Source organism: Homo sapiens, chromosome 10, assembly GCF_000001405.40.
Source record: "Homo sapiens chromosome 10, GRCh38.p14 Primary Assembly".
NCBI lineage: Eukaryota > Metazoa > Chordata > Mammalia > Primates > Hominidae > Homo > Homo sapiens.
In genome coordinates, this window is record NC_000010.11 from 119,067,954 (window position 1) to 119,082,808 (window position 14,855).

The 14,855-nt window shown below is 42.7% G+C and overlaps 1 protein-coding gene across 1 annotated transcript in view, besides 3 other annotated features; it reads right to left on the bottom strand.

The window, feature by feature from the left end:
• EIF3A (eukaryotic translation initiation factor 3 subunit A) overlaps nucleotides 1-12,864 on the bottom strand; it is a 47,148-nt gene extending 34,284 nt beyond the window's left edge. Inside the window, exons 1-6 of the mRNA NM_003750.4 lie at nucleotides 12,675-12,864; nucleotides 5,794-5,984; nucleotides 5,488-5,624; nucleotides 4,937-5,100; nucleotides 2,933-3,132; nucleotides 1,493-1,701 (exon numbers count right to left, since the gene is read on the bottom strand). Of these exons, the coding sequence (NP_003741.1) occupies nucleotides 1,493-1,701; nucleotides 2,933-3,132; nucleotides 4,937-5,100; nucleotides 5,488-5,624; nucleotides 5,794-5,984; nucleotides 12,675-12,723 (950 nt within the window). The 5' untranslated portion in view covers nucleotides 12,724-12,864. The remainder of the gene's footprint in view (nucleotides 1-1,492; nucleotides 1,702-2,932; nucleotides 3,133-4,936; nucleotides 5,101-5,487; nucleotides 5,625-5,793; nucleotides 5,985-12,674) is intronic.
• Nucleotides 12,329-12,588: a silencer, noted in NCBI's record as "silent region_2867". NCBI's record gives its function as "represses an Ori minimal core promoter by ATAC-STARR-seq in GM12878 lymphoblastoid cells {active_cell/tissue: GM12878}" and the evidence as "EXISTENCE:reporter gene assay evidence [ECO:0000049][PMID:35858748]".
• Nucleotides 12,594-13,356: an enhancer, noted in NCBI's record as "NANOG-H3K27ac-H3K4me1 hESC enhancer chr10:120840059-120840821 (GRCh37/hg19 assembly coordinates)". NCBI's record gives its function as "activates a minimal SCP1, AML or CMV promoter by ChIP-STARR-seq in primed H9 embryonic stem cells {active_cell/tissue: H9 hESC(primed)}" and the evidence as "EXISTENCE:reporter gene assay evidence [ECO:0000049][PMID:30033119]".
• Nucleotides 12,784-13,078: an enhancer, noted in NCBI's record as "tiled region #2008; HepG2 Activating DNase matched - State 1:Tss, and K562 Activating DNase unmatched - State 1:Tss". NCBI's record gives its function as "activates a minimal TATA promoter and a strong SV40 promoter by Sharpr-MPRA in HepG2 and K562 cells {active_cell/tissue: HepG2 | K562}" and the evidence as "EXISTENCE:reporter gene assay evidence [ECO:0000049][PMID:27701403]".

A 14,855-nucleotide genomic window follows, 5' to 3' on the forward strand; every position in this document is an offset into this window, starting at 1 on the left:
GCGTGCACCACCACACCCAGCTGATTTTTGTATTTTTAGTAGAGACGGGGTTTTGCCATGTTGGCCAGGCTGGTCTTGAACTCCTAACCCTAAGTGATCCACCCACCTTGGCCTCCCGAAACTGCTGGGATTACAGACATGAGTCACTGCGCCAGGCCAGAAATGTATTTTTTTTTTAAGTGACAGAAAACAGGTTATACGTAACGTTAAAAATAATAAAATGGAAGACTATGCCTTCGGGGCTCATTTCTATAGTTTGTTGCTAGAGAAGTTTCTCTGAACGTGTGGAGCACAGGGAAAAAATTGGTCTATAGGTTGTTGGGTTATAGACCCTTCCTTTTATATTCATATGTATTTATATGAGAATAAACATGACCCAAATATTCTACACTTAATATTTTGCAATCAGGAAAAAATGACTTGATAGAAGTATTTACCCTGCCAGGCGTGGTGGCTCACACCTGTAATCCCAGCACTTTGGGAGGCCGAACCAGGAGGATCATCTGAGGACAGGAGTTCGAGGACAGCCTGGCCAACATCATGAAACCCCATCTCTACCAAAAATACAAAAAATTAGCCAGGCATGGTGGTGCACACCTGTAATCCCAGCTACTCAGGAAGCTGAGGCAGGAGAATTGTTTGAACCCAGGAGGCGGAGTGAGATCGCATCATTGCACTCCAGCCTGGGCGATAAGAGCGAAGGCTCTGTCTCAAGAAAAAATAAAATAAAATAAAATACAAGTCAGGCGCGGTGGCTCACTCCTGTAATCCCAGCACTTTGGGAGGCAGAGGCAGGTGGATCATGAGGTGAGGAGTGGAGACCAGCCTGGCCAATATGGTAAAACTCTGTCTCTACTAAAAATGCAAAAATTAGCCGGGCATGGTGGTGGGTGCCTGTAATCCCAGCTACTCCAGAGACTGAGCCAGGAGAATCGCTTGAACCCAGCAGGCAGAGGATGCAGTGAGCCAATATCGTGCCACTGCACTCCAGCCTGGGCAACAAAAGACTCTGTCTTGCAAAAAAAAAAAAAAAAAAAGAAAAGGAAAAAAAAGTATTTTTCTTAATTTTCTATTTGTTCTGAGAATAGACTCCACCTCTATGTGGATAGAAAGCTCATCCGTTAAATGTGTTTTTCCTAATATTCAAATTTCTCAATTGGGCTTTTAGCGGAGTTACTTATCACCTGAGGTGAGGAGTTCAAGACCAACTACTAAAGTCCAAGAATACTGTTCAGGAAGGGCAATGTCTTGAGACGTCTTAATAGTCACAACTGGCGGTGGTTGCTACTGGCATCTAATGGGTAGAAGCTGAGGATGCTGCTAAACTGCTAAACCACCTGCAGTACACAAGACAGCCCCATGACTAAGAATTATCCAACCCAAAATGTCAGTAGTGCAGAGGCTGAGAAACCATGGCCTAAAATATACCATGTCATATAATAGACGATATTTGTTACAGAATTTCAACATTATCCAAGTATAACATTTTTACCTTTGCATCTCATCTTGTGTGAGATTCTTTCTCATTTCTCTAGAGAGATGGTAAAGACGATGGAGTGTAGATGCATGAAAAAGAGCATTTCCAGATTTCCAAAACACAGTTGAGACTTTGTTATAGTAATTTGCCATCAACTGAGGTTTAGGTGGTTTTTTAGACAAGGAGAATAGCCCGTGAATATCTTCCACAGCTTTGAATGCTTCCTAAAATTAGGAGTATAAATTAAAGTCATTGCATTCTATAACACGAAAAAAATCTAATTCAAATTTCTATGAAACCTACAACACAGAAAACATAAAAATAGCAAATAAAATACCTTTGTGTGGTTCTCTTTACTCATGTATATCTATTTTAGAAAACTGCCATAATTACAAAAACACTAACTCCTTAAACGTTTTAAAGTTCTTTAGGAAATAATGGGAAGTAGACAGAGCAGACTCAAGAAAATATTTGCATATTATCCCATCACTTCGGGCAATATAAAGAAAAAATCTAGAAGGATATACAACAGGTTATTTCTGAGTGATAAGATAATGGATGAATATTTCTCTTCTTTTAACTTATGGATTTTTTTCTATAATGGGCATGTTTACTTATCTTCTACAGGTAGTATTTTAAGATGGGTGTCCCTATAGAAAAGGAAACATGGGCAAGAACAAGACATCAAATCACACTTTCACTTGGCTCAAAGACTCCCAATTTTTAGTTTCTTCCTCTATAATTTCAATCAAATATTGTCCGTCAAATATACAAAAGACTTCAAGGTCACATGACTACAAAATTATATGGAACGTCTTTGTAGGATTCTTAGAGAAAAAGGGCCAGGGAGAGGACTAGCTTCCTAACACCATCAAGATCTCCAATGCAAGACAGGCAGCTAAAGCACCACTAAGAAATCTAGAATAATCTACAGCAGCACTTCTCCAAACAATCAGTAGTAAAGGATTCGGTTTGTTTTAAATTTCTGACCTCTTACCGAAGAATATAAAATACAAAATTACCACAAAAATGAAACAGAAAAAGCTCACTTTTTATCAGAGTAAAAACACACAAAATGTACAATAAAATTGCTACTAAGAAACTTTGCATATGCTTTTCTACTCTATACTTATTTCATCACAGACCAGATAGTTTACAGATGACACCAGTCATGAAACCACACTTCGAGCAGCACTGGCAATGTATTGTTTTATATGTCAAGAAACTGGGTCTGAAAGAGATTATATGGTTTGGTCCAGAATTCATAGAAGGCAACTAGAAACAAAATATTCTGAGATTTCTTGTTCAGAACTTTTCCCAGTCCATTAGGCAACTTTAATTCCTTACCTTATTGAAATTAACCAATGCATACCAAGATGAAGCTATTCATTAAGGGGGGAGAAAAGTAACACAGACTATTATTTCTAGGAAGAAAAGCTAATAGCTCCAACATACCTGCCACAATTCCATGCTGATAGCACTGTCCAGCTGAACAAGTCTGGTTTCCAAATGCATGGACTGGCTCTCTGGATTATTAAGATTGATTGCCGTACTTTGGTTATGGTGGCGCTGAATCTGCGATAAGTGCATTCTCAAATTGTCACACAGTTTACGGAATTCAGCCTTACGCGTGTATTGGAGGCAGAATTTGAAAGCTATAAGCATAATTGTAAAATATATTAGGTACCTTCCACTATCTACTTAAATATTTGAATAGGTTTTATTTCACACATTAAGATCAGTTGTTTTAACAGGATTCACCAAACTCATCATTAGTCTTTGTGATGCAATGAGAATCAACTTATTTCATCCAGACTACCTTTTTGAGTGAGCCCTAACAAAACCAAAGACATAATCACTGGTCCTTGCTTACAACTAAAATGTGGTGCTGGCAGAGTTTACAAATGGGAAACTAGAATTTAGATCTAGGGGTCACCTTTCAAAGACCCACCACTTTAAATCCTAGGAGTAAAAAAATCTAGTATGAAATATAATGAACTTTGATATCTAACTTACATAGTAAGAAACAAGGTTCTGTACTAATTAAAACTACATAATACAAATTGAGGGCTTATAGTAACCTAATTTCAACTGATTACAGATGAACTACTTGTTCTGTCATTTAACTGGACACGTTAATTTTTTTACCGTCACATATGCACTATTAGATTATTTTTTAGATTTCCTTTCCCCTTAAAAATAGTTATGTCTATTTTAACAGGCCTAAAACAGAGATGCAGTTTAACTTCAAGTTAATATTTGTATCAACAGCTATCAAAAAGTCCAAATTTACTTGTATGAAAGTGAAAATTCAGCTGGGCGCGATGGCTCACGCCTGTAATCCCAGCACTTTGGGAGGCCGAGGTGGGTGGATCACAAGGTCAGGAGATTGAGACCATCCTGGCTAACACGGTGAAACCCCATCTCTACTAAAAATACAAAAAATTAGCCGAGCATGGCAGCGTGCGCCTGTAGTCCCAGCTGTTGGGAAGACTGAGGGAGAAGAATGGCGTGAACCTGGGAGGCGGAGCTTGTAGTGAGCCGAGATTGCGCCACTGCACTCCAGCCTGGGCCACAGAGCAAGACTCTGTCTCAAAAAAAAAAAAAAAAAAAAAAGAAAGAAAAAAAGAAAGAAAGTGAAAATTCAGGCTGGGCAGAGCTGTAATCCCAGCACTTTGGGAGGCTGAAGCAAGAGGATCACTTGAGTCCAGAAGTCTGAGACCAGCCTGAGCAACAATGCAAGATCCCAGCTCTTTTTTAAAAACTAAAAATAAATTAAAAAAAAAAAAAAAAGTAGAGAACTCAAGTTCACTAAAAAAAAAAAAAATGGAAAAGTTTATTTTTTCAGTTATACAGAGAATTCCAAAATAACTTTAAAATGTCTTTCATTATTACTGATGTTTGTGTAAAAAGAAAAAAAAAGATCTTTCAGATATCAATAAAATACAATTCACACAAAACTCCTTTAAAGAGTAAAACAAATTCCTTACTCAGTCATTTTGGTTTTGTTTTGTTTTGTTTTGTTTTGTTTTGTTTTGTTTTGAGACAGAGTCTTGCTGTTACCAAGGCTGGAGTGCAACAGTGCCATCCTGGCTCACTGCAACCTCCGCCTCCTGGGTTCAAGCGATCCTGCCACCTCAGCCTCCTAAACAGTTGGGATTACAGGCATACACCACCACGCCCGGCTAAATTTTTTGTATTTTTAGTAGAGAAGGGGCTTCACCATGTTGGCCAGGCCGCTCTTGAACTCCTGACCTCAAGTGATCCACCCACCTTGACCTCCCAAAGTGCTGGGATTACAGGTGTGAGCCACCACATCCGGCCGCAGTCATTTAATACTCATGTGAATGCCAACATTTCAATAAGGATAAAAACTAGTTCATTTTAAGTACTTTTCAGAAAATTTACTCCTCAGTCAATTTCAAAGCACTTCACTCAGATTTGATCTTCTCATCTTACCTTGCTGGGCAATATCATGGTACAGGCGCTCTACTCTAGAATTGTTTCTAAGAAGGTCCAAACACTGCCTGTAAGACTCCCACAGGAATTTAACCCATGGAGTTAAAAGTAATCTGTCAGTACGATCCTGAGTGTCTTCACCACTTACAGCACTTAGGAGAACACTACAAAGAAAAAAATGTTGAAAACAATTTTAGACAGTTTCCTACTTTGCCATGTGATTAAAAACCAAAACAATGTTCATCAGAAAACAGTGCAAATTCTTCCCACAATATGTACACACTGCAAAGGTGTCACTATCTACTCCCTGAATTCCCAATCTGCATTATGTTCATTTAAATTGGTATTTGCCCCTCTATCTTAAGGCTGTCATTTTCCACTTCTATGAATTTTTATTACCTACATAAATTAACTGGTTACTATGCATTTAAAACTTCAAAGATTTGCATTTTTTTCTGATAAACATCTACTTCAAAAGGAAATGAAGACCCATGTAAAAGAAAACACCAAGTTAACTATCAAAGCATTTATTAGAGGTCTAACCCACATACCTCTCAGGAGTTTGAATATTATCTAGATCCTCTATATCTAAGACCATCTGCTGAGATTCTTCTTTAGCAGCTTCAGTTTTTTCCTCTGCCATTTTCAAATATGCCCTAACAACATCCTCCAGAGATTTTATGTTCACCTAATCCAAAAAAACAAAAACTCTTCAGAACTTATTTTTCCATTGAACCATAAGATGTTTTAAAGGCAAATTTTTAAGAGAAATACAATATATTCACTTCGAAAGGTAAGTTCTTCGGCAGATTACTAAAAACACTTGTTAAAAATATACAACCCAGTTCCGTTTGTACCTGTTGACAAATGTTCTTATACTGGTATAACCCCTCCTTTGCCAAGTGGCTCTTGCGAAGATCCACGCAAAGTTCCAAGTATTTCAACATAATTGGTTCGTGTATCTTTTGCCATGTTCTATGTTTTTTACTTTTCATAACATCATAAAGAACATCCAGAGCAGGCTGCTTTTTGCCAACCTCAAGAAATTCTGAAAAATTCAGAAGAATTAAAATTAGTTATGTACACTATACAAGAGTCTAAACTTTACCTTTTTAAACAGCTATTTCAATTCCCCAACTCATTACCAACTTTTTACCAAGTTACATTTATTTTTGACTTCTAAAGCTATGCCATAATTATCAAAAGTAAAACAACAGAAAGACCTGTACTGTGTTGAAATATGATCTACAAGTAAAACTGAATCACTGTATTCCACTGTGATTTAAAAGTTCCAGGCCGGGCGCAGTGGCTCATGCCTGTAATCCTAGCAATTTGAGAGGCCGAGGTGGGCCAATCACTTGAGGTCTAGAGCTGGAGACCAGCCTGGCCAATACGGTGAAACCCATCCCTACCAAAAATACAAAAATTAGCCAGGCGTGGTGGTATGTGCCTGTAGTGCCAGCTACTGAGGAGGCTGAGGCAGGAGAATCACTTGAACCCAGGAGGCGGAGGTTGCAGTGAGCCGAGATCGCACCATTGCACTCCAGCCTGGGTGACAAGAGCGAAATTCCGTGTCTCAAAAAAAAAAAATAAAATAAATAATGTGTCGGTATTGGTTCATTAGTTGTTACCAATAAAAATCAACATGGGAGAAAGTGGGTGTGGTGTCAATGAAACTATGCACTCTCTTTGCAACACTCTGGAAATCTCAAACTGCTCTAAAAAATTCTTTTTTTTTTTAAATAAAAAAATAGAAAAATGGGGCCGGGAGCGGTGGCTTATGCCTGTAATCCCAACACTTTGGGAGGACGAGGAGGGCAGATCACTTGAGGTTGGGAGTTCAAGACCAGCCTAACCAAAATGGAGAAACCAAGTCTCTACTAAAAATACAAAATTAGCAGGGCGTAGTGGTGCATGCCTGCGGAGGCTGAGGCAGGGGAATTACATGAACCTGGGAGGCAGAGGTTGCGGTCAGCTGAGATGGCGCCACTGCACTCCGGCCCGGGCAACAAGAACGAAACTCCAACTCAAAAAAAAAAAAAAAAAAAAAAAGGGAAAAAAATGGAATACAAAGCAAAATAACTTATTTTTTTTCTTTTTTTTTTTTTTTGACATGGAATCTCGCTGTGTCGCCCAGGCTGGAGTACACTGGCGTCATCTCAGCTCACCGCAACCGATTCTCCTGCCTCAGCCTCCTGAGTAGCTGGGATTACAGGCACCCACCACAGGGCCCGGCTAATTTTTGTATGTTTAGTACAGACAGGGTATCACCATCTTGGCCAGGCTGGTCTCGAACTCCTGACCTCATGATCCACCCGCCTTGGCCTCCCAAAGTGCTGGGATTACAGGCATGGGTCACCATGCCCAGACAACTTATATTCTTTTGAATTTATTATCCCCTGAGCCCGAAGGCATTCTATGTGGTAACATTTCAAAACCCAGTTCCAATTTTAAGTTTTATGCATATTGTTTGTTTTGAAATACAGTCAAAAGCAATACCTTTGCCATTACATTATTTCTGACCAAGGTTAAAATTTATCTTAAATTTCCTCATCTTTTATTTTCTTTTGTACACTTAATAGACTGGGGGAGAAAGAGGTTATTTAACCTAAGTCAACTGGTTAAATTCATCTTAACATTCATTAATTGCAAATTTCACACACACACAAACTTCCCAATGAACATTTAAAAAATAATTTGGGGGAACTAAAACACTACACTAAAAAAAAAAAGGGGGGGAGCTTAAAACACTATATATATACATATATATATATATATCTCCTTTTTAAAAATATCATTGTTTATTTTCCTTGGAAAAAGACTTTTTTTTTTTTTTTTTTTTTGGACAGAGTCTTGCTCTGTCACTCAGGCTGGAGTGCAGTGGTGCAATCTCAGCTCACTGCAAGCTCCGCCTCCCGGGTTCACGTCATTCTCCTGCCTCAGCCTCCTGAGTCGCTGGGACTACGGAGCTCGCCACCACGCCTGGCTAATTTTTTTTTTTTTTTTTTTTGTATTTTTAGTAGAGGCGGGGTTTCACCGTGTTAGCCAGGATGGTCTCAATCTCCTGACCTCGTGATCTGCCCACCTCGGCCTCCCAAAGTGCTGGGGATACAGGCGTGAGCCACCGCACCCAGCCAATACTTTTTCTTTTAAGAGCTATCTGATAATGGCCGGGCGCAGTAGCTCACGCCATAATCACAGCACTTTGGGAGGCGGGTGGATCACGAGGTCAGGAGATCGAGACCATCCTGGCTAACACGGTGAAACCTCGTCTCTACTAAAAATACAAAAAATTAGCTGGGCCATGGTGATGCACGCCCGTAATCCTAGCTACTTGGGAGGCTGAGGCAAGACAATTACTTGAATTCAGGAGGCGGAGGTTGCGGTGAGCCGAGATAGCGCCACTGTACTCCAGCCTGGGCAACAAGTCTCCAAAAAAAAAAAAAAAAAGTTTGCTACAGGATAAATCACAAAACATACTGAAATAAATCTTTGTACAATACCTTATATGAAATCACATTTTTCACATGCAAATAATGACAAAACCCTTCACCACTGCATGAAAAAGTCCATCTTTCGCTGACTCCATCTTACTATCAAAAAAAAAACTTACTAAATGAAACAAAGATGTAATATATAACTAGATATTTTGTTGAAATAAGCCTTTCCTTGTTGTCAGGGGTGGGGGTGGGAGGGAAAAAACTTGCAGTCTTCTCCTGGTCTTCTCCTATATAGTGCATGTAAGGTTATTTTCTAAAATGTAACAGTACAGCCAGGCGCCTTGGCTCACACCTATAATCCTAGCCCTCTGGGAGGCCAAGGCATCACTTGCGGTCAGGAGTTCCAGATCAGCCTGGGCAACATGGTGAAACCTTGTCTCCACTAAAAACACAAAAATTAGCCAGGCATGGTGGTGCATGCCTGTAATCCCAAATACTCGGGAGGCTGAGACTTTAGAATCACTTGAACCCAGGAGGCGGAGGTTGCAGTGAGCCAAGATTGCGTCACTGCACTCCAGCCTGGGCAATAGAGGGAGAGACTCTGTCTCAAAAAAAAAAAAAAAAGAAAATGTAACAGTACATTAGGCGTTCTTCATAACTAACAAAAACAGTCTCTTATCAGCAAAAAACTTGGGAGTAAATGCGTTTAATGGAATTTATACTTTAAGAAAATCACAGCAGCAGCACTAAAATGACCTATTGTATCCAACTCCTAATCTAAAAAGGGCTTGCTTAAAGATGGAACTGAAACCATTTTTCACTTCCTGAACAGCCAATTAGAAGTTGATTCCTTAGCCAGGCGCGGTGGCTCACGCCTGTAATCCCAGCACTTTGGGAGGCTAAGGCGAGCAGATCACTTGAGGCCAAGGGTTCAAGATCAGCCTGGGAAATATGGTGAAAAAAATTAAAAAATTAGCTGGGCATGGTGGGACACACCTGTAATCCCAGCTACTTGGGAGGCTGAGGCAGGAGAATCGCTTGAGCCTGGGAGGCGGAGGTTGCAGTGGGCCGAGATAGTGCCACTGCACTCCAGCCTGGCCAACAGAGAGAGATTCTGTCTCAAATAAATAAATAAATAGTTGGAATGGGAACAGATTTTTCATAATCCATGACAGTGAGTCTTCTGCCTTTGTCCTAATTTATATACAAGAATTTAGTTCCTCCGAATTTTTTTTTTTTTTTGGAGAAGGAGTCTCGCTCTGTCACCCACGCTGGAGTGCAGTGGCGCAATCTCAGCTCACTGCAAGCTCCACCTCCTGGGTTCATGCCATTCTCCTGCCTCAGCTTCCTGAGTAGCTGGGACTACAGGTGCCCGCCACCACACCAGGCTAATATTTTTGTATTTTTACTAGAGACGGTTTCACTGTGTTAGTGAGGATGGTCTTGATCTCCTGACCTTGTGATCCACCCGCTTCGGCCTCCCAAAGTGCTGGGATTACAGGCATGAGCCACCACGCCCGGCCTCCTCTGAATTATTTAATAGTGGCCGGGGGAAGCTTTTGAGACTGGAAAGAACTATGATAAACTAAAGGTTCTATTTCAATACTTAAATATTGACTTCCAGATTAATATTATAGAAATAAAAATTAAAATCTAGAATTATAAACCTTACTGGATGGGTGAGCATTTGGAGCATACCTTTCAAATTCATTACTGAAAGTATGTATAAAGAAGTTTACATCAGCCCTTGATGTTTGCTAGTTTATTTGTGCAACAGACCAAATGGATATGCTATGTTACTCAATTTGTGGCCTTAATAGCTTTATTTTTCAAAGGCACTGGTTGTAGAACATAAACTATAATAAGGTCAGCAGCAGTTAGTGTGGCACCACTAATGATATAATATGAAAAAGGGGCCTTCTCCAAATGATTACAGGATACGAAATTCTTGCCTGTAACTGCTGGTCCAAGTTCTCACCTTCCTGAATGACTACTATAATTTTTCCCCCAAAAATTGCTCATATATATGCTTAGGGTGACCTGAACGACTATTCTACTTAAATTTATTTACATTTTATTAAGACAATGCAATAAATTAGGTCTAAATATTGTTAGGATCACAAATATTACATGTAAAACATTTAGATAAAATGAGATTATTTCCAATTAGGGGAATGCCCTTTGATCCTTCACTTATGTTTTGGAAGCAGTGCCCTGGACCATCCACGATCTGCTCACTTTGAGAAGGGATCCCTCACAATCCAAAGGTATGAGTTTCTACTCTGAAGGGAACGCATGCATCCCCATCCAACAGCTTCAAAGGGCTGCAAGGGACCACAGTCTTTTTTAAAAAGCTACACAAACAAAACTCAAGTTTCCCCCCCAGTGTCCCTCATCTTGCCTACTTTAATTTCAGATCCTTTCCTTAACCTGCCCTTCATGAATCAAGCCTGTGTCAATTTAGAAACAGGAAAAAAATGTTTGATGCACATTACATATCTTTTCTATATGAAGTTCTTATGAAGGTTCCAAAAAGAGAAGCGATAAAGGAAACAAGACCCGAACACACCAAATATATAATATGTAGGCCATTATAATGCTTTGGCCTACTAGCACGGGGAAAAAAAAATACCTGTTGGGCAAAGCATGCAAATGACTGTAAAACATCGACAACAGCCATGCAGAGTAGTAATTTCATGCAAATCATTTTGTATACTACAAATTCTAACTTTCGAAACGACGAAAAGTCATAAACTTTGCTACAGTTTGGTTTATAGTGACAAAGTTCCATTTCAATCTCTTCTTTCCGATGTATTAATAAACATCCTAAAACTGCTTGTCTGTTCTAACCATTAGATCACTGGTTATCATTAGAATGAATTAGTGCTCACATCTATGTTGTAGTTTCAATAGGTTTTTAAAACAATTACTCCATTCCACACAATGTGGAATTATCCTATTCCACAGACCAGTTCCCTCCCCGACAAAAAGTGTTACTTTTACTTTAAAAAGTATATGACCAACATATCTCTGGTTCTGCCAAATTATCAGTTTATGTGCTGACTCAAACTGCCATTTTCATAAGATGAATTTTCAAAGAAGCTAACAAAATAAGCTCTCCAAACATAAAACTGTAACTCACAAGGTATATTCATCTACAACATGGGTAAAACCCGAAACTTCTATTTCGGTGAAGGAAGGATGAAAATAAGAGCTATCCATGCCCTAACGATTAGAAAAATTGTCCGGTTAGAGGGGAAAAAAAAAACCCTACACAAAGTTTCTTAAGCCCAGAGCCTAGCCAAGAACATGTGCATCCCCAGAACGCCAATGTAATAAATGCCTTGGAGAGATCGGGGCACACAAGTTTTTCCCTCAAGCGCCAATGGCTGAAGTACACATATAGAAATAGAAATCGCAGACAGCAGCACTGTGGCAGAAAAAAAGAGAAAAAAGGACTGATCTGGATGTCAAGAGACGTTGGTTTTAAGTCTCTTGGCTCAACAACTCCCGGAGTGACCTTGGGGAAACCTCTCTCTAGGCCTGTTTCGTTATCTTTAAGAGGCGACCTGAAGTCCCTTTACATTAACTCTATTCCAACTTCCAGTGATTCGAAACAGGCTTTAGGACTGCTTCTAATCAATGCCAGGAAAAATGAAAAAACAAAAACAAAACAAAACAACAGGAATCAGGTTAAATGGGTCAGAGGCCCCTAAGTGGATATAAAGCAGCTGGGTAAAGGGTAAGTGGACGCCGACCCAGCAAAGCACTGAGCGCGGCTTGGAGAGCGGGGGTGGCTGCGGGAAGGCCGGGGGTGGGTCCGTAGGGCTCCCGGCCCGGGCAGGAGGTGGAGCCGAGGCTCTCGCGTGCATTGTCCCCGGGAGGGAGCCATGTTTCTTACTCCCCGGCACTCCCAGATGGCGGCCGGGGACGCGGGCCCTAAGCAGACCAAAGCCCCAGGGACCTGGAGAGCCAGAGGACGCAGGCAGCAAGGAGGGAGCTCCAGTCCGGGTAGGGGCTGTCTCCCGGGCTGCGGTCCCCGCGACGCACCCGGAGGCGGCAGGGGGAAGGAAAGGCCCCTGGGGCGACGGTTCCGGGCTACGCGCCTCCCAGACCCCAGTCGATAGAGTGAGAAGGAAACCCATGCCCAACCACCGGCTGGGACAGCGGCGGGCAGGCCGCATCGGTCTCCTCTCCCCGCGCGGGCCGGGCGGCGGAGCAGTGGGAAGCAGGCCCGCGCTCTCGACCTCGGAGGCCTCGGGCCGCCCCAGCCCGGCGCGCCCCGATCAGCTACTCACCGTTGGCGCGTTTGAGGGCATTTTCCGGCCTCTGAAAATAGGCCGGCATCTTGGCGGCAGGCTCAGCTCACCCGGCGTCAGCGAACTCTCTAGTGGCCCGGGCCGGGAGAGGAGACGAAGGGGAACCAGCGTAAGGTCCCACGCGCCTCGCCAGCAGTCGCCCGCGCCCAGCCGGCCAGAGACGGAAAGGAAGGAGCCACGTGACCTCCCCGCGGCGGCCCTGCTGCCGCCCAGGCCCCGGATGTAGGGGGCGGGTCTCCGTGCGCGCAAGCGCGCTGGCGTCACGCACGCCGACAGACGTGGCGGCGCCGGAGTCCTAGGCGCGCAAGGTCCAGTTCCCGTCTTGGGCCTGTCCTGGATAGCGTTAGGGAGACAGTTCACAGGCTCTTCAATCTTCGAGCGAGAATTAGGGTGGGAAGGGTGAGTGTGGGGTCAGAGTTTCTGTCTGGAGAACAAGCAAACGTCTGCAGATTGGTTTTCAAAGCGACTTGTGCGGAGTCGTGCAGTTACAGTAAGGTCCCATCCAGCCTGGGAATCGCCTGTCTTGGCTACGTGAAAATGCTGAGTTTAACGAAAACGCAGTGAGCAGGTGTCATCAGGTCAGCGCCGCTCAACCGTGAGAGACAATCATGGGGAAGAGTGACGCCTAAAATAAACAAGCAAGGTTCTTTTATATCTTGGTAAAGTAAAAAGTTTGTGTCACAGGGATTGCCTTGAGAAATGGAGGCTCTCAGAGGGGGCGAATGGGGACAGCGACCTGGCAAAGGGCGAAACGCCCTGGAGCACAGCAGACTTGCTTGGTGTTTGAAAACACACGGAAAGGAGTGTCGTCACTTTTTACATACAGCGCACGTCACAAACAAATTAAGAAAAATTAGTGTTAGTGAAAAAAATCAATCTGAGAGGCCCTTTTATTGTTGCTTAACAATTTTAATGTTCGCAGACGAAGTACTTTACCTAGAATTTGAAAACCATTTGAACCGAATCTAATTCTCAAGCCCTTGGTACGAAATAAAGGTGAGCTCAGAAGGAAAAAAATTTTTTTTTTTTTTGAAACGGAGTCTCGCTTTGTCGCCCAGGCTGGAGTGCAGTGGCACGATCTCGGCTCACTGCAAGCTCCGCCTTCTGGATTCACGCCATTCTCCTGCCTCAGCCTCCCGAGTAGCTGGGACTACAGGCGCCCGCCACTGCGCCCAGCTAATGTTTTGTATTTTTAGTAGAGACGGGGTTTCGCCGTGGTCTCGATCTCCTGACCTCGTGATCCGCCCTCCTCGGCCTCCCAAAGTGCTGGGATTACAGGCGTGAGCCACCGCGCCCAGCCCAGAAGGAAAATTTAGAAGGCAGCAGTGAAATAGATTATTGTCAATGTATTACACATTTAATAGACGAGATATGTGAATTAATGAATGAGGAAATCGGCCGGGCATGGTGGGTCGCGCCTGTAATCCCAGCACTTTGGGTGGCTGGGGCGGGTGGATCACCTGAGGTCAGGAGTTCGAGACCAGCTTGGCCAACATGGCGAAACCCCGTCTCTACTAAAAATACAAAACTTAGGCCTGGCGTGGTGGCTCACGCCTGTAATCCAGGCGCTTTGGGAGGCCGAGGCGGGCGGATCACGAGGTCAGGAGTTCGAGACCAGCCTGACCAAAGTGGTGAAACCCCCCCCCCCGTCTCTACTAAAGTTACAAAAAATTAGCTGGACGTGGTGGCGAACGCCTGTAATCCCAGCTACTCGGGAGGCTGAGACAGGAGAATCGCTTGAACCCGGGAGGCAGAGGTTGCAGTGAGCCTAGATCGTGCCACTGCGCTCCAGCCTGGGTGACAGGGCGAGACTCCGTCTCAAAAAAAAAAAAAATTAGCCGGGCGCTGTGGTGGGCGCCTGTAATCCCAGCTACTCGGGAGGCTGAGACAGGAGAATCGCTTGAACCCGGGAGGCAAAAGTTGCAGTGAGCCAAGATCAGGCCACTGCACTCCAGCCTGGGCGACAGAGGGAGACTCCGTCTCAAAAAAAGAAAAAAAAAAAAAAAGAATGAGAAAACCACAGGATATACACACAAAAAGCATTTCCCCCTCATTACTTCTGCCTCCACAAAGATGGTTTTGTTTTGTTTTTTTATTTTTCAACATGAACTGTTCTACTACAGGAGAGGTTTTTCTATTTATCTAAATTGATCACTATAA